Here is a 23,725-nt window from a genome sequence, read left to right as displayed (position 1 = left end):
TTGTTTCAATGAATAAAAATTTGAGGAAAAATAAAAAAGAAGCAAATTGCAAACAATTAGATTTATCAGTTTGTCATGAAAAATAGTATATTTAACATATGTTTCTCCAGATAAAGCAGCCTGGGGGAAAAACAGTTTTGAAGGAACAGCAACAAGAAGTATTTTTCTGACTCAGGCCTTGCCACAGGATTGCAAGAAATTTAGCCTCCTTTAAATTCTTCCCAGCTAGTTCAGAAAGTCATTTTCTGGGGCTGTTTCATGCAAGTACATATTCTCATTCCTTAGCTCCCATGGTAAGCCTACTGATTCTTACTCTCTGTGCTCTGTCATTTCTCCTTTGGGTGAAGTCCTGAGACACCCCTGGCCTCCTATCAGGAGAGAAATTTGAGAATCAGAAAGCATCAATGGAGATGGTGCCATGCATCCTGGATGGCTGTGTCTGGATTATTCTCTGCTAATGTGGGAGCCCCTTAGCAAAGGGTCATGGCAAAGAGTTACTTGCTCCCTAGCAGAGTCCACCTTTGTGATATTTACCTAAGGGATAAAGTCCTAAGTCCTGGTGGTGGGAAAATCTTGCCCCATGTAATTCAGGTAGAGCACTCTTTCAGAGAAACACAAACTTAAGGTGGGGTAGATTTTTTCATAAGCCACTTGGAGGTCAGCTGACCTTATTCCCTGTTGTCAGTGAGACCAAAGCGGACACAAAGCACCCATCTTCCCCTCCACTTGGGGGACAAGAGCCCACATTTTGATTCTCTTGGAGCAATAGGCTCAGGAAAGCAATGCGCTGCCACCTGAAGAATGAGAGTCTGCAAATCCTGCCCTGGGGAAGGCGGTCAGGACTCCTTTTGCAGATAGCTCAATGGGGTTTTTGAGGGACCTGTGGGGTCACCAGACTGAGAGGGACCTTGAGTTTGAAGTGAAAATGGAGAAAGAAGAGAGGAATGGAAGAGACAGATGACATTGAGAGTGACAGAGTATTCCCCTGAGGCAATCTCCGAAGATTTACACTGTGAGATGTTTCCCCTCCGCAGAGGAAATAATTATGTAAGGTCCCTAGTTCTTGTCTTCCCATCTGGCACTACTTCTGGTGTCTTTCCTGGCTCTTCAATCAAATAGCACCTTCACCTTCATCTGACTCAGTGTATGTCTATGCTGCAGAAAACGGTGTAGTTTTCCATACTTAGGAAGCACTCAACACCTGCTTCCTGATTGCCCAGGTAGGGGAAAGAGGCCCCTCCCTTGTGCTCAACGGAAGGAGGAGATAACTTGACTCTTCGACTCCTTCACAACACAGCTTTCCTGGCCTTTGCCTCACACCAAGCCCAGAAAGAAGGTCACACTGTGCTACTCCAGGGCACCATTCAGATCAGACGCCACATGGAAGGTGTCCCCTGTCAGCATGAAATGTCGATTCATTTGTATTGCTCTGTAGAGAGTACGATAAACTTAGTGGTTTAAAACATTGCAAATGTGTTATTTTATAGTTCTGGAGGTCTGACATGCGAAATCATTTTCACAGGGCTGAAATCAGGGTGTCAGAAAGCCCACCTTCTCTCTAAATGCTCTAGGGGTAGGGGAGAATCCATTTCCCTGCCTGCTTCCAGCTTCTAGGGGCTGCCTGCATTCCCTGGCTCCCACCATCTTCAGCATCCTCCTCGCTCTCTGATCTCGGCTTCCAATCTTACACCTTCTCATTCAGACCCTGATCCTCCTGCCTTCCTCTAATAAGGACTCTTGTGATTCTATTTGATTTATCCAGATAATCCAGGATAATCCCTCCCTCTGTGTTAGGTCATTCTGTGTTGCTATAAAGAAATACCTGAGACTGGGTAATTTATAGAGCAAAATGGTGTTTTTATTTTTTTGAGACAGAGTTTTACTCTTATCTCTCAGGCAGGAGTGCAGTGGCATGATCTCAGCTCACTGCAACCTCTGCCTCCCAGGTTCAAGTGAGTCTCGTGCCTCATCCTCCGGAGTAGCTGGAATTACAGGCATCCACCACCATGCCCAATTAATCTTTGTATTTTTAGTAGAGACAGAGTTTCACCATGTTGGCAAGGCTGGACTGGAACTCCTGGCCTCAGGTGATCTGTCCACCTCGGCCTCCCAAAGTGCTGGGATCACAGGCATGAGCCACCACACCTGGCCAGCAAAGTGGTTTAATTGGCTCAGGGTTTTGCAGGCTGTATCAGCATGATGCCAATATCTGCTCAGCTTCTGTGGAAGCTTTAGGGACTTTTCAGTGGAAGCAGGAGCAGGAACATCACATGGGGAGAGCAGGAGCAAGAGAGAGAGGAGGGGGCTGTGGGAGGTCAGGGAGGCGCCACATACTTTTAAACAACCAGATCTCCAGAGAACTCACTATTGCCAGGACAGCGCCAAGCCATGAAGGACCCACACCCATGACCCAAAGTCCTCCCACCAGGCCCCACCTCCAATACTGGGGCTTACAGTTTAACATGAGATTTGACAGGGACATATATTCAAACGATATCACCCAGCAACTAAACATCCTTAGTCTAATCACTTTCACAAAACCTCTCTTACTGTGCAAGGTGACATATTCACAAGTTTGGGGGATTTGGATGTGGACGTCCTAGGAGGGACCATTATTCAGTCTACCATAAAGTGCAGATACATGTGGAGGCCCTGGGCAGGGACCCCTTTGTTCTGTGTATGAGTCTTAATTTCTAAAGCTGACTGAGTGTTAGCACGGAGAGGTCAATGCCATCAAAAAAAAGTTTGTTGTTGCTTGCAGTTTCACTGGAAAAGCAAGGCACAGTGTGCCATTCAGGGCCATGGGGGAAGCACCAGTGTTGGTCAGGAGACAGAAGCAGGAGGGAGGGGGCAATCCTGGACCATAGCCTTTGCTGGGGTGTCCCTGGGAAAGGCAAGGCACAGTAGTTAGGGTTGGCCAGTTTGGATAATTCCAGCAGGCTTTAGGCTAGAAGAGTGGTTTCTGGTTGTCTGGTATGTGGCCCCGGGATTATTAAGACAGAAGAATATTGCTTTCTGCAATATACAGGATAGAGAAGGTAAAGCTCTGAACTGGCTAGTTTACATATTGAAGCACTTTTTTTTTTTTTTTTGAGACAGAGTCTCACAGTGTCCCCAGGCTGGAGTGCAGTGGCGCGATCTCAGCTCACTGCAACCTCTGCCTCCCGGATTCAAGCGATTCTCCTGCCTCAGCCTCCCGAGTAGCTGGAACTACAGGTGTGCCCCATGACGCCCAGCTAATTTTTGTATTTTTAGTAGAGATGGGATTTCACCATGTTGGCCAGGATGGTCTCCATCTCTTGACCTCGTGATACACCTGCCTTAGCCTCCCAAAGTGCTGGGATTACAGGCATGAGCCACTACTCCTGGCCTAAAGCACTTTTCTAGCTGAGTTCTTTGCTGTTCCTAAGAACTGGCTAGCCCCAGGTGGGCCAGTCTGTCCCCAGACAAAAAGATTTTTTAAAATATAAAAACATCATAATATACAAAAAATAAAAAATCTAATTAATACACCCCTCCACCCATGTTGGGACAAACTGAAGGTCAGGCTCTCTGCCTTGGGCCACTATGATTCTACTTCTCACATATTGGTCTCCCAGGTCCATTATCCTAGTGTCCTCACCCGCTGAACTGAGGGCTGCGTTCTGTGCCTGTATTTTTCCCACCATCATGATGTGGACCCCAGAAAAATATACCTTCCACTGTTCCCAGAGAAGTCTGAGTAGTAGAGTTAATTTCCCCTCTGTCACTAATCAATTGTTACAGACAGATCTCACAACTCCTTCATTTTATCTTTCCATAGGATGACTTCTTTACTTGGAGGCTCTTTCCTGTGTAGAGAGAACACTTAAAGACCAGACCCACAAGACATAGCAAAAAATCCATGTGTCTGAGTCCTCAAGGTGGGCACACATTAAGCCCTTGAGCTAAGATCCTAATGCCATCATGATTCAAGAGAAAATTGCTGAGCCTGAAAACATAAACCTTTGGATATATTTTTTCAGTAAAGTAACTAATAACTTTGAATGAGGGGTGAGATTTAAACAAACGCTACTTGATATCAATTACAATACACTATTTATCTTAATGGTGTAATTTGGAAAAATTATGCTTGGCATTATGTAAATATAAGCTTTTCCAATAATATAAAGCATTTATTCTACTAAAAATTTTATTACATTAAGATAAATAGAAAGCAGATTTGTCAAAAATAGATCAGCATGAATAGTGATACTACTACCAATAAATACTAATAAGATCCTCCCATGAATAATGAATGTTGTGCTGTATTCTCACAGCCAGGTTGGCTCGGGAACAAACTTGGAGGCAGAGGGAGAGCCACATCTATCCTGCTTCATATTCTAACTCCTAATCATCCAAGCTTAGGATGGAGTGGCTGAATAGACATTACCTCTTATTATTTTAAAAAGTCCTATAATACAAAAATTATCATGAGGGTGCACAGCCAGTACATTAACTTCAAATCTGGACTCCCAGTAGAGTTTATTTTTTGCCAGCCCTTTATCTCAACACACACACACACACACACACTCACAGAGAGAGAGAGAGAGAGAATTATTGCAGGGCTTAGGAGAACCCTGGTCTTGCAGAGAGGATACACATCATAGAGATTGTAGACACACGAAAGATTTAGGGTAGATTGAAACAGAAAGCTGCAGCTCAATTGTCAGGTTAAAAACAAGAGATCAGAAGATATCTCTGATTAGTAACAAGTAAGTACCCAAATTAAGAAAAAGACCTCTCCATGAAGACCATGCTTTGGGGAAAAAAAAGTAATCAGAAGGCAAAAAAAGAAATTAGACCACCCAGAAGACAATGAAAACTATACCAGAGCTATTATTCTTTCATTTTTCATTTGAGGAAACTCAAGATGATATTGGCAACCGCAATACAGGTGGGACATCCAAACTCGGAAACTGTTTGAGTGCTGCCATGAGGCCACAAGTGGAAAATCCCACACCTGACCTCACGTAATGAGTCGAAGTGAAAACACAGCCAAAACTTTGTTTCATGCACAAAATTACCCAAGACATTATATATAAAATTACTTTCAGACTATGTAAGATATATATGATGCATAAATGAACTTCATGTTTAAACTGGAATCTCCTCCCCAAGATGTCTCACTCTGTAGATGCAAATATTCCAAAATGCCAAATGTGAAACACTCCTGGTCCCAAGCATTTTGGATAAGGGATACTCAACGTGTAAATCCTTTAGTGTCTCTTATATATAACTAGTTCTTATTCTAAAATGAGGATGTGGTTTTTCATAATGTAAGAAATACAAGTAGCTACATGATCTTTGAAGGTCAAGGAGTGCCAGTATTTTTAGTTTTGTATGTGCAGTTCGTCAGTTCTGAGCCACATTCACAAAGGTCAGCAAAGAGCCTGACTACAATATTTAGTTAACTAGATAGCATCCTTATGTATAAAGCCTCCCTGGGTATTACTATAGCAGAATAACTGAATCAGGAGAACTTCTGCTCATCTATTACAAGCTTGATCATTGTGTCCTTAGTAACAAGATAGAAAATAGAAATAACATCTATCACAGAATCGTGTCTCAGGGAGCTTTATTTCTATTTAGGTTGCATTAGGTATTTCCTCTCTAGATATGTAGGATAGCCCTAAGCTGATTAAGAGGGTCTTGAGCTTTACTTTGCATGGGCAAATGAAGGGGGAGGAGTTTCCTGGAGTCTCTTAAAGGCTGAGATCTAGAAAAATGGAGGGAAGGGAAAAATGTGAGAGGGGTTTGGAGTGAGTGGAGGAGCTGAGTAATGTTGGAAAATAAAACCTCTCCATTTGCAAGATCTGCCACAATTTTAAATGCTAGGTGTGAGTGTTTTTATTGGGGTGAGCGGGATCACAGAAAATGAGTGATGTTCTATATTTAATTCAGTATGAAGCAGAGAAATAAGAGAAATGCTGGGAGGTGAGAACAAGAGTTTGGTGGGAACCAGAAGAACATGAGCCCCCCGGGAAGTGGCAAATATAGGGAGGCTTTGGACTTCCCACAACGTGTGGGTTAAAGCCAATTTGCATTTTCTCCAATTCAAGTGATTGGATGACTTCAGTAGGCATGTGAATTACACTCGTTTCAAAAGAGTTCATCTCTGCTTTTTAAAGAAAGTATGTTTTGTAAGTCTCACAAGGCAAAGGTGAGTTACAAATCCACTGCACTATGCTATCATCAGCTGGGCAGGAAGAGGAGGTTGAGATACACAAAGGAGAATTCTGTGGTCAAAGCTTGGAAAGAGCACGGACGTGACCAGGAAGGAGAACAGGCTAGAGTGAGAGGAATTTGGGAGTAGGAATTCAGGCAATGCTGGCATGTGGTCAGGATCCATGGTAGCAGATAACCTGATACCATGATGCTCACAACCGTGGTAGTAACAGAGCATGAGGATTCATTTTGGAGAAAAAGGACATGATTGGCAAAGAAGGGAGGGCTGCGGGGAGTTCTTTGATAACCACATCGTCACATTTTGAAAGGGGAAGAGCTCCAAGATTTCACAGTCATCCTGAAGGCATAGCTGTTTTGGCCATCGTTTTGGTCAATTGTGGTGATAAAAGTTTGTTAATCTTTCTAAATATCATAACACTTGTTCTATGCATTAATGTTAATATTACATAAATAATAATTTAAAATGTCAAATATAACATCAATAATAAATTATAAAATATATTAATATATGTATTAATATTCTAATATTACACATTTTGGAAATCTTTTAAAATATGTGGTAAAGTGAAAGAAATTTTTACACATATTTAATTACTTTTTTACTGAGTAACATTAGAAATCCATCATGAAGTCAGTAAGTTTCAGATTTCTGAATAAAAGACAATTAATAACACATCTAGCAGATGAAAAAAGTCAGCCAAAATAATTACAGTAGAACTCAAGAAATTGGCCTGAAACATTCTGACACATGATTTGGGAAAAGAAAAGCTTCCCTACTCCAAAATACACTAAGACAATATAAAAAAATCATTTGAGAACCTCACTTTCTGCAGAGAAGTAAACGAATGCCAGGAAGATCTATTTTAAGAGCTATAAAAATAACTAGATAGGCAGTCAAGTAAACTTTAATATGTCCCCTTGATGAATTAATCCCTTTAGTATTACAAAGTGGCCCTCTTTATTCATTTATTCCTTGTTTGGAAATCTACTTTGTCTGATATTAATATAGTCATCCCAAATTTTTGGATTAGTGTTTGCATAGGATATCTTTTCCATCTTTTACTTTAAAAAGAATTAGCTTTATTGAAGTATAAATTACACACAAAATATTCACCAATTTTAGGAGTTCAATTTGAAGAGTTTTTGCCAAGGCACATGGCCATAAACCTCTATCACGATGATGATATAGAAAGAATATTTCCATTACCCCATAAACTTCCTTCATCCCCCCTTTCAGTCATTCCCTTCCCCTTTCCATTGAACCTGTCAACAATTGATCTACTTTCTATCCCCATAGTTTTGCCTTTTGTAGAATTTCATACAAATGGAATCATACAGTATGTAGTCTTTTGCGTCTGGCATCTTTCACTTAGCACAGTGTTTTAGAGATTCCTCTACGTGGATGAAATGTTATGTGGATCAGTAGTTTGTTCCCTTTGACTGCTGAGTTGTACATTTTTATAAGATTAAAATGGTCTTCCATTCATCAGCTAACAGAGATCTAGGAACTCTCTAGTTCGGGAGTATTATGAATAAAGCAGCTATGAACATTCTAGTATAAGTCTTATATAGATATACTTCCCAGGATACATACCCGGGAATAGAAATGCTGGGTCATATGGTTGGTGTATGTTTATCTTTGTAATAAACTGCCAAACTGCTTTCCAAAGCAGCTGAACTGTTTTGCATTCCCACCAGCAACCTGTAAGAGTTCCACTTGTTCCGTGTCCTCACCAACACTAGTTTCTTTCATTTTAGTTTTATTCTCACCTTTTAGCCATTATTCCTTTCAATTATAGCTCTAGTGGGTCTAGCTAATCTACTGTGGCAGTATTTCAGTGGTTTTCTTCGGCAGTGTCCAGATATTAATGATGCTGCACATCTTTTTATGTGCTTATTGACTATTTGCATATATTCATTTTCAGTGTATTCAAATCTTTTCCCCAGTTTTAAATTGGGTTAGATGTCTACTTTTAAAAAAAAAATTGTGTAAATTTAAGAGGTACAAGTACAGTTTAGTTATATGGATATATTGCATAGTGGTGAAGTCAGGGCTTTTAGTGTAACCATCACCCAAATAGGGGTACATTGTCCCTATTAGATAATTTCTTGTCAGCTACCTGCTCCCAACCTCCTACCCTTCTGAGCTTCCCATGGCTATCATTTCACATTATGTCCATATGTACACCTTATTTAGCTTCCACTGATAAATGACAATATGCAGTATTTGACTTTTGTTTCTGAGTTATTTCACTTAAGATAATGGCCTTCAGTTCCACCCATGTTGCTGCAAAAGACATTTCATTATTGTTCATGGCTGAATAGTATTCCATTGTGTCTACATACCACATTTTCTTTATCCATTCAGTTGGGATGGGCACTTAGGTTGATTCCACGTCTTTGGTATTGTAAATAGTGCCTCAAAAAACATAGGGTTGTAGGTATTTTTTTGATAAATGATTTCTATTCTTCTGACTAGGCACCCAGTAGTGGGATTGCTGCATTGAATGGTAGTTCTATTTTTAGTTCTTTGAGAAATCTCTATACGGTTTCCCATAGAAGTTGTACTAATTTACATTCCCACCAACAGTGTATGTGCATTCCCTTTTCTCCACTGTGTGTATTTGGATTAGAAGTCCAGATATACATTTTGCCAATATTTTACCCCAGACTGTGACTTGACATCATTTTCTTTACAGTGTTTATGAAAAGCAAATGTTTTAAATTTTAACAAAGTCCAATTAAATTTTCTTTAGTTTGTGCTTTTTCTGTCCTATTTAAAAATCTTTACCTACCCTTAAAATTGGTGAATATTTTCTATGTCTCCAAATTTTCTCATAAATTTTCTTATAGAATTTTAATAGTTTTGGCTCTGACATATAGGTCTATGCTCCATTTGAAATCAATTTTCGAATGTGGTATGTGTTAAGTTTTGAGATTTGTTTTTCTTTTATTTGCATATGAATAGCTGGTCTTTCCAGTATGGCTGGGGAAAAGATTGTCCTTTCCTTATTGAATTGCCTTGGCAACTTTGTCATGAATCAATTTAATATTTACATGGGCCCATTTCTGAAGTCTCCATTCTGTTCCATTGATCTATGTCTCTCAGGCACCAAGAATCCACTGCTTCATTACTGTATTTTCATAATAAGACAAAATCAGGTTGTGTAACTTCTCCAACTTTGTTCTTGTTTCTCAAAATTATTTTTGGAAATTCGAGGTTCTTTGAATTTCTATACAGAGAAGCTTTTCACTGTCTACAAAATAATTGATTTAATGTCAAAAAAAAAAAAAGCCTGTGAAGATTTTTGGCTGGTTTGTGTTGAAAATACATTTTAATTTGGGGAGAATTGAAATCTTAGTGATGTTGAGTCTTCTGAGCCAGGAACATAGTATACTATCCATTTATTTTGGTCTTATTTCTCTCAGAAATATTTTGTCTTTTTCAGTGCACAGTCTTGCAAAAGTTTCATTAAGCTTTTACCTAAATATTTCATAGTTTTAATTTTTTATAAGTAACATTTTAAAATATTTTAATTTCCAATTTTTTTCTATTGTATAGAAATACAGTTAGTTTTTGTATATTGATCTTTTAGAGTCTATGAATTTCCTAAACTTATTTATCAGCTCATTTTTGGATTTTATAAGATTTTCCACATAAATGATCATGTTGTCTGTGGATAAAAAGTCTTAATTCAGTTTTCAGATCTGTATGACTTTTTCTTGCCTCATTTTGCTGAACAGAATCTCCATTATGGTATTGAAGAGTAGGAGTGAAAATCGCCTTTTTCCCAGTTTTCACAAGGAAAGTGTCCAGTCTTTCATAATCTATATGATGTTAGCTGTTGACTTTGTAATAAAGAAGATCCCTTTTATTATTTATTGACAAAAGTTTTAATCCTTTTTATCATTTATTTAGTTATGAATATTAAATTTTCCAAATAATTTTTCTGCATCTATTGAGATAATTTTAAAATATTAAACAAATCTTGCCTTTTTGTCATAAAGCTCACTTGATCATGGTTTATATTTCAATAAAATATTGCTGGAATAAATCTTTTTAACATTTTATTAACATTTTTGCACTTGTGCTCATATAGATACTCTCTGGTTGTTTTCTTTTTTGTGATTCCTTGTCTGTCCATGAATTGTGAGTGCCTTACTCACAACTTCATGAGTTAGAAAGTATGTTTCTCTTCTAGTTTCCAGGAAAGTTTAACAAAATTGCTCTGGCTTGTTCGCTAAATGTTTGCTAGGATTCAACAATGAAGCCATCTGTTCCTGGAGCTCTTGTTTCTGGGAAGGTTTTTTACTATGCTTAGGATACTCACAATATTTCTTTTAAAGTAAGATTTAGTAGTTTGTGTCTTTTAAATAATGTGTCCATATTGTTAAAAACTGTCATATTCATTGGTTTATAGAGTTGCTGGCAATAGCTCCTTATTGGTCTCATAGATCAATAGAATGTGGTTTGTAGAATGTGTGGTAATGTCCCTCTTTTATTCCTGACTTTGGTAATTTGGCCTCTTTCCCCTGCTTTTTTGATCAATCTTGGTAGAATTTTGTAAATTTTGTGGATGTTCTTCATAACCAGCTTTAGATTTCATGGATTTTCTTTGCTATATTTTATTTTCTTTATTATTGATTTCTGCTCATATCTCCTTTCATTATTTCCTTTCATTTCCTTTAATTACTTTTGTCTAGTCTCTTTAAAGTGGGATCTAAGAACATTGCTTTGAGCCCTTCTTTGTTTTCTTATATGAACATTCAACTCTATGTGGATGCTTCTCCACTTACAATGGGGTTACATCCCAAGAAACTCATTATAAGTTAAAAATATTGTCAGTTGAAAATGCATTTAATACACCTAAGCTACTAAACATCATAGCTTAGCCTAGTCTACCTTAAACACACTCAAAACACTCACTAGCCTACACTTCGGCAAAATCATCTAACACACAGCCTATTTTATAATAAGGTATTGAATATCTCATGTAACTTATTAAATACTGTACTGAAAATGGAAAGCAAAATGGTATATGGACACTCAAAGTATAGTTTCTACTGAATGTGTATTGTTTTCACACCATTGCAAAGATGAAAAGTCATAAGTTGGACCACTGTAAGTCTGGACTGTCTGTATACTTCCCTCAAAGCATTACATTAGCTACACCTTACAAATATTGATGTTATGTTTTCATTTTCCTTCAGTTTGAAATATTTTCTAATCAACTGTTCTACTGCTTCTTTAATTCATGGGTTATTCAAACTTGTATGTTTCAATTTTCAAATATTTTAACATTGTCTAGTTATCCACTTGTTATTGATTTCTAATTTAATTTAATAATGGACAGAAAACATACTTAGTATGATTACAATCCTTTTAAATTTGATGAAATTTGTTTTATGATTCTGAATATGGTCTAATTTTGTGAATGCTTTCTGTGTACATTAAAATAATGGATATTCTTTTTTTGTTTTATCACTGACAACTAGGTTAAGTAAAAGTCATATATATGCTCACTGATTTCCCCACTTATTCTATTAATTATTGAGAGGAATGTTGAAGTTTGCAAACATAACTTTTTCTATTTTTCCTTTAGTTTGAAGTTTTGCTTTATGTTTTGAAGTTCTGCTATAAAATCTATTAATATTTAGGGTTAGTATGTTTTACTGATATATTAATCTATTATTTACTATGAAATATCTTTCTTTATCTTGATAATATTCCTTGTTCTTAAATTTACTTTGATATTAATATAACATTTCCAGCTTTCTTGTGATTAGGGTTTTCATAATATATTTTTCTCTATCTTTTTAATTTTAGTGCATCTGTGTCTTTAGATATAATGGCATTATTTTTTAAATCCAATCTAAAAATCTCTCCCTTTTCATTTGAATTCTTGGATCATTTGCATTTAATAACATTGTTGATGGGATTTTCACAAAATCCACCATCTTGCTGTTCATTTTCTATTTGTCCTATCTCTTATTTATTCTTTTAGCTTCTATTTTCTGCATTATTTTAACTACTTATATATTTTTAATACTTACATTTAGTCTCCACTACCACTATTTTAGGTGTAATATATTGCTTTATGTTTTTGTGTACTCCTTAAGATTTAAAATACCCATCTTTAACATTACACAGTCTACCTTCAAATACTATTATATTACTGTTATACACTGACTAAATCTTTTTTTTTTTTCTTTTTTTTTTTGAGAAGACGGAGTCTCACTCTGCAGGCTGGAGTGCAGTGGCAGAATCTCAGCTCACTGCAACCTCTGCCTCCTGGGTTCAAGCAATTCTCCTGCCTCAGCCTCCTGAGTAGCTGGGACTACAGGTGTGCACCACCACACCCAGCTAATTTTTGTATTTTTGGTAGAGACGGGGTTTCACCAGGTTGGCTAGGATGGTCTCAATCTCCTGACCTCGTGATCCTCCCACCTTGGCATCCCAAAGTGCCAGAATTACAGGCATGAGCCACCGCGCCCAGCCTATACTGACTAAATCTTATAACACATTCTTCTATTGTGCTGTATTTGTGATGCATTTTATTTCTGCATATGTTATGAATCACACAACACATTATCCTTATTTTTGTTTTAAACAATTTTCTTCTGAAGAGACTAAAATGAGAAAATATATTTTATACTCACCCACATATTTATCATCTCTAAATGTTTTCATTCCTTTGTGCAAATTTCAGAATCCCATCTGTTATCACTTTTGAGAAACTTTCCTTAAGAGTTCTTGAGGTGTAGATTTGCCAGAAATAACTTCTCTAACTGTGGTTTGTCTAAGAGTTTTTATTAGGCCTTTATTTCTGCAACATATTTTTGCTGAGTATACGATTTTTGGTTGACGTTTTCTGACATAAGATTTTAAGGACATTGCTCCATTGTTTTCTGGGTTACGTTTTCTTCTGACAAGAAATATGTTGTCATTCTCACCTTTGTTCCTTCATGTTTCATGTGTCTTTTCCTCTTTAGTTGTATTTAAAAGTATCTCCTATTCACTTGTTTCCAGAAATTTGATTATGGTATTTCTTGGCATAATTCTTGAATCCATGAGTTCATAAGTTTTATCAAATTTGTAAAACTCTGGTATTCACTTCCCCAACTTTTTTTTCTGTTTCTCCTCCTCTCCTTCTGGAGCTTCAATTATATGTTTATTAAACTAATATTGTTGCTCAGATAACTGATTCATTATTAATTATTTTGTCTTGTTTCTATCTCTACTTCATTTTGGGTAGCTTCTATTGCTGGCTTCAGAGTTAACTACTTTTTTTCTTCAGCGTCTCCTTTATCTAATTTTACCCTGTATGATATCCATTTTAGATATTACATCTTTTGCTTATATAAGTTCCCTTTTGGTTTTTAAAAAAATCTTTTATTTTCTCTTCATCGTAATGATGTTTTTCTCTACCTTGTTGAACATATGGAGCATATTTACAATAGTTGTTGTAATGTCTTTGTTGGCTACCTCCATCATCTCTGTCATTTCTGGGTCTGTGTCTATTAAGTGATTTTTCCTTTTGGCTTTGAATCATATTCTTCTATTTTTTGCATACCTGATAATTTTATTTTGATGCTGAATGTCACAAATTTTATAATTTGGTTTTGGTTGCTAGTTTTTCTGTTTTCCTTTGTATAGTTTTAAATCGTCCCTTGGTCACACTTAGTATCATTTGGAATCAGTATGATCCTTTTGAGGCACACTTTTATGCTTTGTTAGGGCATGCCCAGAGCACCCTATAGTTTAAATCTAATTTAATCCCACTACTAAGGTGATATCATTTTGTGAAAACTCAATGAAACATGCCTTGTAGGACCTTTCTACTCTGGCTGATGGGCACGTGAACTCAGTTTATGTGAACATTGGCAATTCTTCTGCTTATAGTTTTTCAGTGGTTCTTTCCCCAGCTTTGAGTATTTTTTTCTCCTGTGTATGCAGATTAATATCAGTGAAAGACTTAAAGCATCACCTCCACAAATATTCAGACTTTTCTTTATGGAGTTCCCTCCTCTCTGGCACTCTTCTCTGAAAATTCTAGCCACCTCTGTCTCCATGAAAAGGACAAAGCCTCTGAATTGTGTCTGCTCAACTCAGCAAGACTGTTGCCTCTGTTGGATTTATTCTCCTTGCACTATGGCCTAGAGCTGCATCCAGGCACTGAGCTGGTAAAATCACAGGGCTCACCTCATTTGTTTTTATTTTCTCAGGAATCACAGTGCGGCACTGCCAGTAGTCCAATGTCTGAAAACCATTGTATAATCTATTTTGTCCTGTTTTCTAGTTATTTAAGGAGGAGCCACTACTCTTTAGAAGAATTAGAAGCTTCCTTATAAAGAGATTTGAGGAAGACTGTAAAGATCTTTGCCTTCATCTCAAATGGAGGCAAAGGTAAGTCATTGTAAGGTATTAAGAAGAGCATGGAGTACTCAAAGCAGAATGAGGAGAAAACAGTTTGGACACTTACTCTAGGACATTGCTTGCATTTGTGTATCCTTTCAGAGGAAGCAGAGCTTGAAATCAGTCACACAGTCACAGAGAGAGAGCTTTGATGCAGAAAAAAAAAAAAGCACTGCATTTGGAGTCAGAATACTGAAAATGAGTGACTTACAGTTCTGCCAGTTGCTAATTATGTTATCTTGGAAAGTTTAACGCATTAGTTACTAAGTTTGTGATGTTGGTCAATGAGCTCATTTCCTTACATGCAAAATGGTGGTAAAATCACTTCCCTTCTAGGGCTCCTGAGAGAAACAGCTAGACATAAGATCGATCAGATGTGTATAGGTCGAGATAAGAGAGTTCTAATTCCATATCAGCCACTAGCATGCTGTGTCAACTATAACCATAGAAAGTTAACTATTGAAAGAGTTCTTGTAATTAATTAATTTTAATAATTTTAATTTATACATAAGAAACATAGGAATCTGAACTTTTGAAATAAAATTTATTATATTTTTTACTATTAAAATTATTTTAAGATTTTAGAATTTGGAAATGAAAACATTTCCTAGATAAACTTGAAGTTTTAAAAACCAAAAATGTGCAGTCTTATTATTTGAATATGTTAAGAAGGCAAAGGGAGGGTCTTAGTATGATCTAGGACTTCATTGAAAATGAATAGTCAATGTGACCCTAAATTCTTTTACTTGTGGATATCAGTGATAAAGTTGGGAACTGGCTAGGAATGGGGAGGAAAGTCAAATATCTCACTTTCCTCCAGAGAAAGTAGAAATTTATGATAAAAATACAGAATTAAATATTTTCCATATCCTATACCACAATTTAAAATAAATACATTCAAATATCATAATAAACTAAAGACATAAATACTATAAAACAATTAAAATATTTTAAGTGAGAAAATTTGAGATGGGAGTTCAGTAGACTTCCAAAGTAAAAATATTATTCTAGTAAGAACACTTGAATAGGAGCTACTTTTGTAGTTTCTAGCTTAGTGATAAGCCATAATTCCACTGGAGTTACAATATTGAATTATTATTTGATATTGTTTGCCCTCTTAATTCCCCTCATTAAAGCGAGTTTTTATTAACTTCTGCTTCAAGGAATATAAAATAGGGGTATTTTTCCCTATTCTTCCTGCTAAGTATGACTTAAAAACCTAGATGTTAGATATAAAATAACCGTAAGAGTACTTTGAAAAGTAGAGAAGGTAGTACTCTGGCCAAGACCTCAGGATTTAAGGAACAGCATAGAAATAAATTCCCTTTGTTTTCTTTTCTTCCTTATGTATCCCAGACTTGGAGTTAAAGAAGACAGCAACCTGGAAATGCCCGAGGATGTAGACAAAATAAGTTCAACAAGATGTTGCTCTCTCTAGACAAAGAGCCAGGAAGAGGGGATTCTCTCCAGCAAAGGCTGAGCAGAGAATCAGACTTCTATCTTTACCAGGCCATAATGAGGTGCCCCAAACTCTAGCTGGGGTAGTGTTAGAGAAGGCTAAATATGATGCTGGATTTCGTTCCAACCCAGCAGTAGTAAGAGACTTTCTACTTCCCATCTGGAATGATGTCAGAGGAGGCATAGTCAGAACTTTCACCACTGCTCAGCAATAACAAGGCCCACTCCATGCCTTGTGGTATCATTGGAGGCCAAGTAGGAACCAGTAATGAGGGATTGCTACCCCTTCTAATCAGGTTGGGATGCTAAGCTGGGAGTGGAAACACCCACGTTTGCCCAGCATTAATGAGGCTCACCTCCCCGTCATGTCAAAGTAGGCTAAATGGGAAACCTGGACCTTTGCTCCCACCTGGAAGTAATGAGGCATTGCTCCCTGTCCCACTTCACTTTCCAGAGTGGTTCCAGAGAAGGCAGCTAAAACAGGAAGTTTGCATAGCCCATAGTCTCACAACACAATACCCAAGATGTCCAGGTCTCAATAGAACATCACTCATCATACCAAGAACCAGGAAGATATCAAACTGAAAGAAAAAAAGACAATTAATAGATGCCAGTACCAAGATGACATAGATGTTAGAATTATCTGTCAAAGATTTAGAACAGTCATCATAGAAATGCTTCAGTGAGCAATTATAAACATATTTAAAACAAATGAAAAATAGAAGTCCTTAGAGAAGAAACAGAAAGTCTCACCAAAGAAATATAATATCTAAAGAAGCATGGAAATTTTAGAACTAAAAATAAAATAACTGAAATGAAAAATTCAATGGATAAGCCCAAAAGCAGAATGGAGGGAACAGAGAAAAGGAGTGAGTCGAAGACAGATAATAGTCATTACTTAATTTTAACAATAAAAATAAAATACACTGAAAAAATGAATAAAGGTCCCTGTTCCTCAGGGTCCTGTGGAACTGTGATGGTCAGTTTTATGAGCCAAATTGGCTAGACCATGGTATTCAGATATTTGGTCAAAAATTATTTTACATGCATTTCTTAAAGATAAGATTAACATTCAAATCAGTAGACTAAGTAAAACAGCTTATCCTTCATAATGCAGGTGGGCCTCATCCAATCAGTTGAAAGCTTTAATAGCAGACAACTGAGCTCCCTAAAGAAAAGAGGGAATTCTTCCAGTGGACCACCTTTCAACTGGAACTGCAACTCTTCTCCGGATCTCCAGCCTACCAACCTACCCTGCTGATTTTGGACTTGCCCAACCTCCACAACGATATTAGCCAATTCTTTAAAAATCTCATCTCTCTCTCTCTGTATATATAATCATAAGAATCTCAGAGGGAGAGGAGAAAGTGAAAGGGCTGAAAGAGTGCTTACAGAAATAATGTCTGAAAACTTCACAAATTTGACAAAAACTAAAAATAAATACATAAGACTACAAATTGGGTACACTGTGTACTGCTCAGGTGATGGGTGCACCAAAATCTGAGAAATCACCACTAAAGAACTTATTTATGTAACCAAATACCACCTGTTCCCCAAAAACCTATGGAAATAAAAAATTAAAATAAATATATAGATTCAAGAAGCTAAGTGAAACACAAACAGGGTACCCCAAACAAATTCACCCTGAGATACATTATAGTCAAACTCCTATAAACTAAAGATAAAAAATACGTAAAGCAGCAAATAGAGAAATGGCACCTTTTCTTTAGGGGAAAACGAATACAAATGACAGTGGTTTTCTTAACCAGATATCATGGAGGCCATAGGAAGTGGTACAATATTTTTCAAGGGTTGAAAGAAAAGAACTGCCAACGTAGAATCTTATAGGTAGTAAAAATATCTTTGAGGAATGAAGGAGAAATCAAGACATTTTCAGATGAAAGAAAACTGAGACTATCAGAACTAACAAGTGAGCTTATCAAGGTTGTAGGACACAAGATAAACATACATAATTGTGTTTCTATATACAAGCAATGAACATAATGGAATTCGAAATTAAAAATACAATATCATTTGTAACTGTTCAAAAATGAAATTTTTAATGATAAATACACATACAGAATTTGAATATTGAAAACTACAAAAGACTTATAAAAGAAATCAAAGAAATATATAAATAAATGGGAGGTAATCACTCTTCATAGCTTGACTCATAGTAAACATTATCCCCAATTGATATTATCCCCAATTGATGTATAGATTATATGCACTTTCTATTAAAATCCCATTTTGTAGATATAGGCAAAATTATTCCAAAACTTATATGGAAAGGGAAAGGTATTAGAATAACTAAAACTATTTAGAAAAAGAATAAAGTAGGAGGAATCAGTCCCTTCAATTTTAAGGCTTACTATATTGCAACAGCAATCAAGTTTGTGTGGTGTTTCTGGAGGGATAGACACACAACTTAGTGGAACAGAATAGAGAATCCAGAAATAGATCTATACAAATATGTCCAACTGATTTTTGGCAAAAATGCAAAAATTCAATGGAGAAACAAGAGCCTTTCAACAAATGGAGCTGGAGCAAACATTTATAAGCAAAATACAAACCTCAACCTAACTGTCACATCTTATGTAAAATTTAACTCAAAATGAATCACACACTTAAATATAAAACATAAACCTGTAACATTTTTAGAAAAAATCATAGCAGAAAATCTTCATAATCTAGGGCCATACAAAGAATTCTTAGGCTTGAAAACAAAAGTATGAGCCATACTTTTGGTAGTGGTATGGTAAATTACATTTCATTAAAATATAATTAAATTTAAATTAAAGTCTCTGCTCTGTGGAATATCTTTGTTGAAAGAGTGGGAAGACTGGGAGAAAATATTTGCAAATTACCAGTCTGGCAAAAGACTCATGTCTAGAATATTTAAAAAAACCTTCAAATCTCCATAATAAAAGTAAACAAACAATCAAATTAGATGATGGATAAGAGACATTTCACTGAAGAGGATATACAGATGACAAATAGGGAAATGAAAATTAAAACCACAATGAAACATTACACCTGTCAGAAAGGTTAAAATTAAAAATATTGAAAACACCTAATGGTGGCAGTTATAAAAAGAAGCTGAATCATATGTTATTGTTGGATATCTAAGATGGTGTATCAACTCTGAAAAACAGTTTTTCAGTATTTCATTTTTTTACAGACAGTAAACATGCCTCTATCATGTGGTCCAACAATTGCATGTTTGGGTGTTTATCTCAGAAAAATGAAACCTTATATTACCCAAATTCTGTATATGAATTTATAGTAGCTTTATTTGTAATATTCACAAGCTGGAAACAACTTAGATGTTTTTCAATGGGTGAATAGTTAAACAAATTGTGTTATATCTATATGCTGGAACAGCACTCAGCAAGGAAAAGAAACAGATTGATACATTCAACAACCCAGAGGAATATTCAGAAAATTGTGACTAGTGAAAAGGCTAGTCCCAAAGGTTAATACTGTGTGATTCAATTTTTATAATACTTCTGAAGTGATAAAATTATAGAAATGGACAGCAGATTCACGGTTTCAGGTGTTAAGGAGAGGTGAGGGTGGAAGGGAAATGGGATGGGTTATAAAAGAATAACTTGGATCCTTGTGATGATGGAAATTTTGGGGGCTTTGACTGCATCATGTAAATATCCTAGCTGTGATATTTTACTGTAGATTTGCAAGATGTTACTATTAGGAATGCTATGGAAAGAATTTGTCCCCTGCCAGATTCACATGTTGAAACCCTAAACTCGAATGTCATGGTGTTTGGAGGCGAGACCTCTAGGAGGTAATTTGGCTTAATTGAAATTATGGGAGGAGTCCTCCTAGTGGAATTAGTGTCCTTATAAGTATAAACACCAGACACCTGTTCTCTCTCTACCTACTCTGTGAGGACCCAGCTAGAGAGTGTCTGTTTGCAAGCCAGGAGCAGAGCTTTCGCCAGAAACCAGCCATGCTGGCATCTTCATCTTGGACTTCTAGCCTTCAGACTATGGGAAAATAAATTTCTGCTGGTTAAGCTACTCAATCTATGGTGTTTTGTTGTGGCAGCGTGAGCTGAAAAAGACAGGGAGAAACTGGGAAAAAGGTACACCAGAACTCTCTTTATTATTTCTTACAAGTTTATGTAAATCTATAAGTATCTCAAAATCAAATGTTTAATTGAAGAGTCTATTTTTACATAAATATTTGAAAGTTAATCTACTTTTGAAACTGTCTTAAATGTCTTCGTATGCCATAAAATAATGCTTCCCATTCACACAGTACTTTACGTTTTTCAGGTGATTTCACACAGTATCCTTCACCAGAATTTGGTTACACATTGGGGAGCCACTACTGCTCTTTTAGAAATGAGAAAACTGAACCCGCTAGAGGTAAGCTCGTGGGAATATAGCTGCACAACAAGGGACTGAAGCTTTGACACCTCTTCAGAACTTTTTCCATTTCAACAAGCCTACCTTAGAAGTAAAGAGATTGCCTAGCCATAGAAGAGGATGAGTTGCTTCTGTATCCCTAAGGATAACATTTGAAAATTAGTTTTGAAACTTTCTTTGAAATGTCTTAGTATACCACAGTATCCCCCATTCATATGGTACTTTATATTCAAGCTAGCGTGAATATAGTTGCCTGCAAGGGTTAACTTCCAGTTTGCTATTCTAGCCCCAACCCTCCAGATGAGGCTTTCCTGTGCACACCCTCTGAATGCAGAATGCGTTAAAAAAAAAAAAAGAAAGAAAGAAAGAAAGAAAAACTCTCTCTACAGAGTACGTTCAAGTATAAATATGTAAGGAATGTGTGGGGGAAAGTAGTGATCCTCTGTTTGCTTTTCATTAAGAATGGATTCCTGATACTCACCGTCCCAAGCAGAAAATCAAGGCTAGCTCCTAAGCACCAACTGTCTTTCCTTTGTGGGCTTCTGCCAAGTTCGTGGAAAACATTATACAATGCAAAAATTGTAGAGCTGGCTTCATGTTCTCTCACTCCAACTCCACTCCCTGTGTTAGGAATCGAATGGCAGATTCCACCTTTCAGCTGGAGCCCAAGGTTTTATTTTTCATTTGAGAATTCAGAACAGAAAGCACTTCCCGGTAGTTGTTATTTTGTGAAAAGACACAGTAAGCTGAATTTACTGAAACAAGAGCTCACTAGAATTCAGAGCTTGCTGTGTGCGTGTGACGAGCCGTGGCGTCTGGCTCACCGTTAGTACTTTAATTTCCTTTTTCAGGATATAAACCAGCAAGGTGCTTTGACAAGACGCTTGTTAAATGGAGAATGGAACCAGGTTATTCACTGTGGTGAGTAAATCAACCAAAACCAGAATCTAGCTTTCAAGTAGTTGGATGGCTCCCTTGGATCTTTATAGCCAGAAGACTGGGTGATCAGGTGATATACCTTGTTAACCTGAGCCACGATTTTACCCAATGCGGGTGATGCAAACCACAGTGGCTGAATCCCTGATACATGTGCGGGCACTTAGTTGTTGCATGGGTCTTTTATCAAGACCTTCAAGTTTAATCTAATCATGGCCACACTGGAGAAGGTCACCTGGGTAGACTAGGAGAGTGACTGACTATTCAGGGCATTCGTATTACATTATCTGGACCTGGCAGTTTCTTGACTAGTCCATAAGAACAATAGCTCCTATTATTTAAGTTGCACCTATTTGCCAGACACTGGGCTGGGTGCTGTGTGTGCCTTGTTCCAATTAATCTTCACAAGAATTGAAGAGGTGAATTGGATTAGCACCATATTAAAGATGAAAAAACTACGCAGGTAAGTGCCTGTCCTGAGATTTTATCTCTGGCAAGTGCAAATATGTAAGTTATACACACATCTGACTATTTTAAAACCCATGCTCTTTCTTTCCCCTGTTCAACATGCTCTGACGTCACTAAAACTCTTCAAGAGCTAACTTCTTGAGGGATCTAGAGAATATTGTGTTGGAACAGAGTGTCAAATATTAAATTCTGATTCTTAGTTTCTACAGCTTTCAAAAAGTCAAAAGCTGCTCTGATATGTTTCATATTTAGGAAAAAAAAAAAGGGGAATCCACTATGCTGATTTAAGTATCTTTGAACAGTTTTTATATTACTTTTATCGATAGTGGCATCTTAACTCCCTCTGAGTTAAGTCCTGATCATTTGGCTGGTGAATACTTTGTGCCTTCAGAAACCTAGTACGTCTGGTGACAGGAGCCATGAGACTTGGGCTCCAGCCTGGTTTTCACACTGATTTTGCAGTTATGACATTGGGCAAGCCAGTTTAGCAATCTTTGCTATAGTTTTATTGTGCATTAAAGGGACATAATACCTGCATATGTATCAGTTAGGAATGTTTTCAGATACATACAACAAAATACATGATTAACAGTAGCTACAAGCACAAGGGTATTAATAAAAGTTTGAAGGTGGGAGGACTAAGGCTAAATCAGCAACAATGGTGGCAAGAACCTATTCTTTTATGTAATTCACTCCTCCTCTTGCTGGTTTTCCTCATGCTTATGGTTTCAAAATGGCTGCTGCAGCTCTAGCATCACTTCCATACTCAACGAAGGAAGATTGAGGAAGGAGCAAAGCGAATTAGCTCTTCTTTACATCTATTCTTTTCATCAATAAGCAAGCTAGGTTTCTCAGTAATGCCATAATACACGTCCCTTTACAGCCTCATTATCTAAAATCGAATCCCTTGGTCACCCATCTGTAACTAAGAGGCCAAGAAAGAAAAGTGTCTGGCTTTTCAATCTTGATATCTGTATAGTCTGTTTTCATACTGCTGTAAAGAAATACCCAGGACTAGGTAGTTTAAAGGAAATAAGTTTAATTGACTCACAGTTCTGCACAGCTGGGGAGGGCTCAGGAAACTTACACTCATGGTGGATGGGGAAGCAGGTGCATTCTTTACAAGGTGGCAGGAGAGGGTGTGAAGGTGGAACTTTCAAACACTTATAAAACCATCAGATCCTGTGATAACTCACTATCATGAGAACAACATGGGGGAAACTGATCCCACTATCCAATCACTTCCCTCCCTTGACATATGGGGATTACAATTCAAGATGAGATTTGGGTGGGGACACAGAGCCAAACCATACCGTTATTAGAAGACAAAAAGAAAAAATAGAGCTCAGAATGGCTTTTGTAAGCAATTATTAGTGTCTTCCATGGTCTTAACCTCAAAGGATTTGCTTCATCAAAGTAAGCTTTCTTGCTTTGTCCCTATCCATCCTAAATAATTTGTAACCAGTATTTTAAATGATATAGTGTATATCCAACCATCTTTATCTGTGCAATGTCTCATACATGTGAAATACAACAATGCAGAATAAATACCATAGGTATTCAATCAATGAATTATTTCAATACAAAAAAAATGCCCACCTGAGATCTAATGTACAATATGTTTTTTGTGTCATTTGAAGTAACCTCTTATATTTGTGTTCTATTTCTTTTTCAATAGCTGGTAAACTAGACACAAGCTCTGAATAAATAATGCCAGAACATCTGGATAAAAAGAAAAAAATCGATTATCTGGATGTTTTGTCTACATAACATCAAAACATGTAGCATTGTATAGACAAAACATCCAGATGATTGAATATTTTACTTTTCATCCAGACAGCTTGTTGTC

General features: G+C 36.8%; 1 long non-coding RNA gene across 1 annotated transcript in view, besides 1 other annotated feature; it reads right to left on the bottom strand.

Annotated features, from left to right (window-relative positions):
* LOC124900945 (uncharacterized) overlaps window positions 1–21,316 on the bottom strand; it is a 70,896-nt gene extending 49,580 nt beyond the window's left edge. Inside the window, exon 1 of the long non-coding RNA XR_007058701.1 lies at window positions 20,954–21,316. This is a non-coding gene — a long non-coding RNA (uncharacterized LOC124900945). The remainder of the gene's footprint in view (window positions 1–20,953) is intronic.
* Window positions 20,662–21,163: an enhancer, noted in NCBI's record as "NANOG hESC enhancer chr5:15425914-15426415 (GRCh37/hg19 assembly coordinates)". NCBI's record gives its function as "activates a minimal SCP1, AML or CMV promoter by ChIP-STARR-seq in primed H9 embryonic stem cells {active_cell/tissue: H9 hESC(primed)}" and the evidence as "EXISTENCE:reporter gene assay evidence [ECO:0000049][PMID:30033119]".
* Window positions 21,317–23,725: the final 2,409 nt, after the last annotated feature.

The sequence above is a fragment of the Homo sapiens genome, chromosome 5 (assembly GCF_000001405.40).
Source record: "Homo sapiens chromosome 5, GRCh38.p14 Primary Assembly".
NCBI lineage: Eukaryota > Metazoa > Chordata > Mammalia > Primates > Hominidae > Homo > Homo sapiens.
Note: the sequence above shows the minus strand (reverse complement) of the source record. Positions and strands in the feature narration are given on the sequence as shown.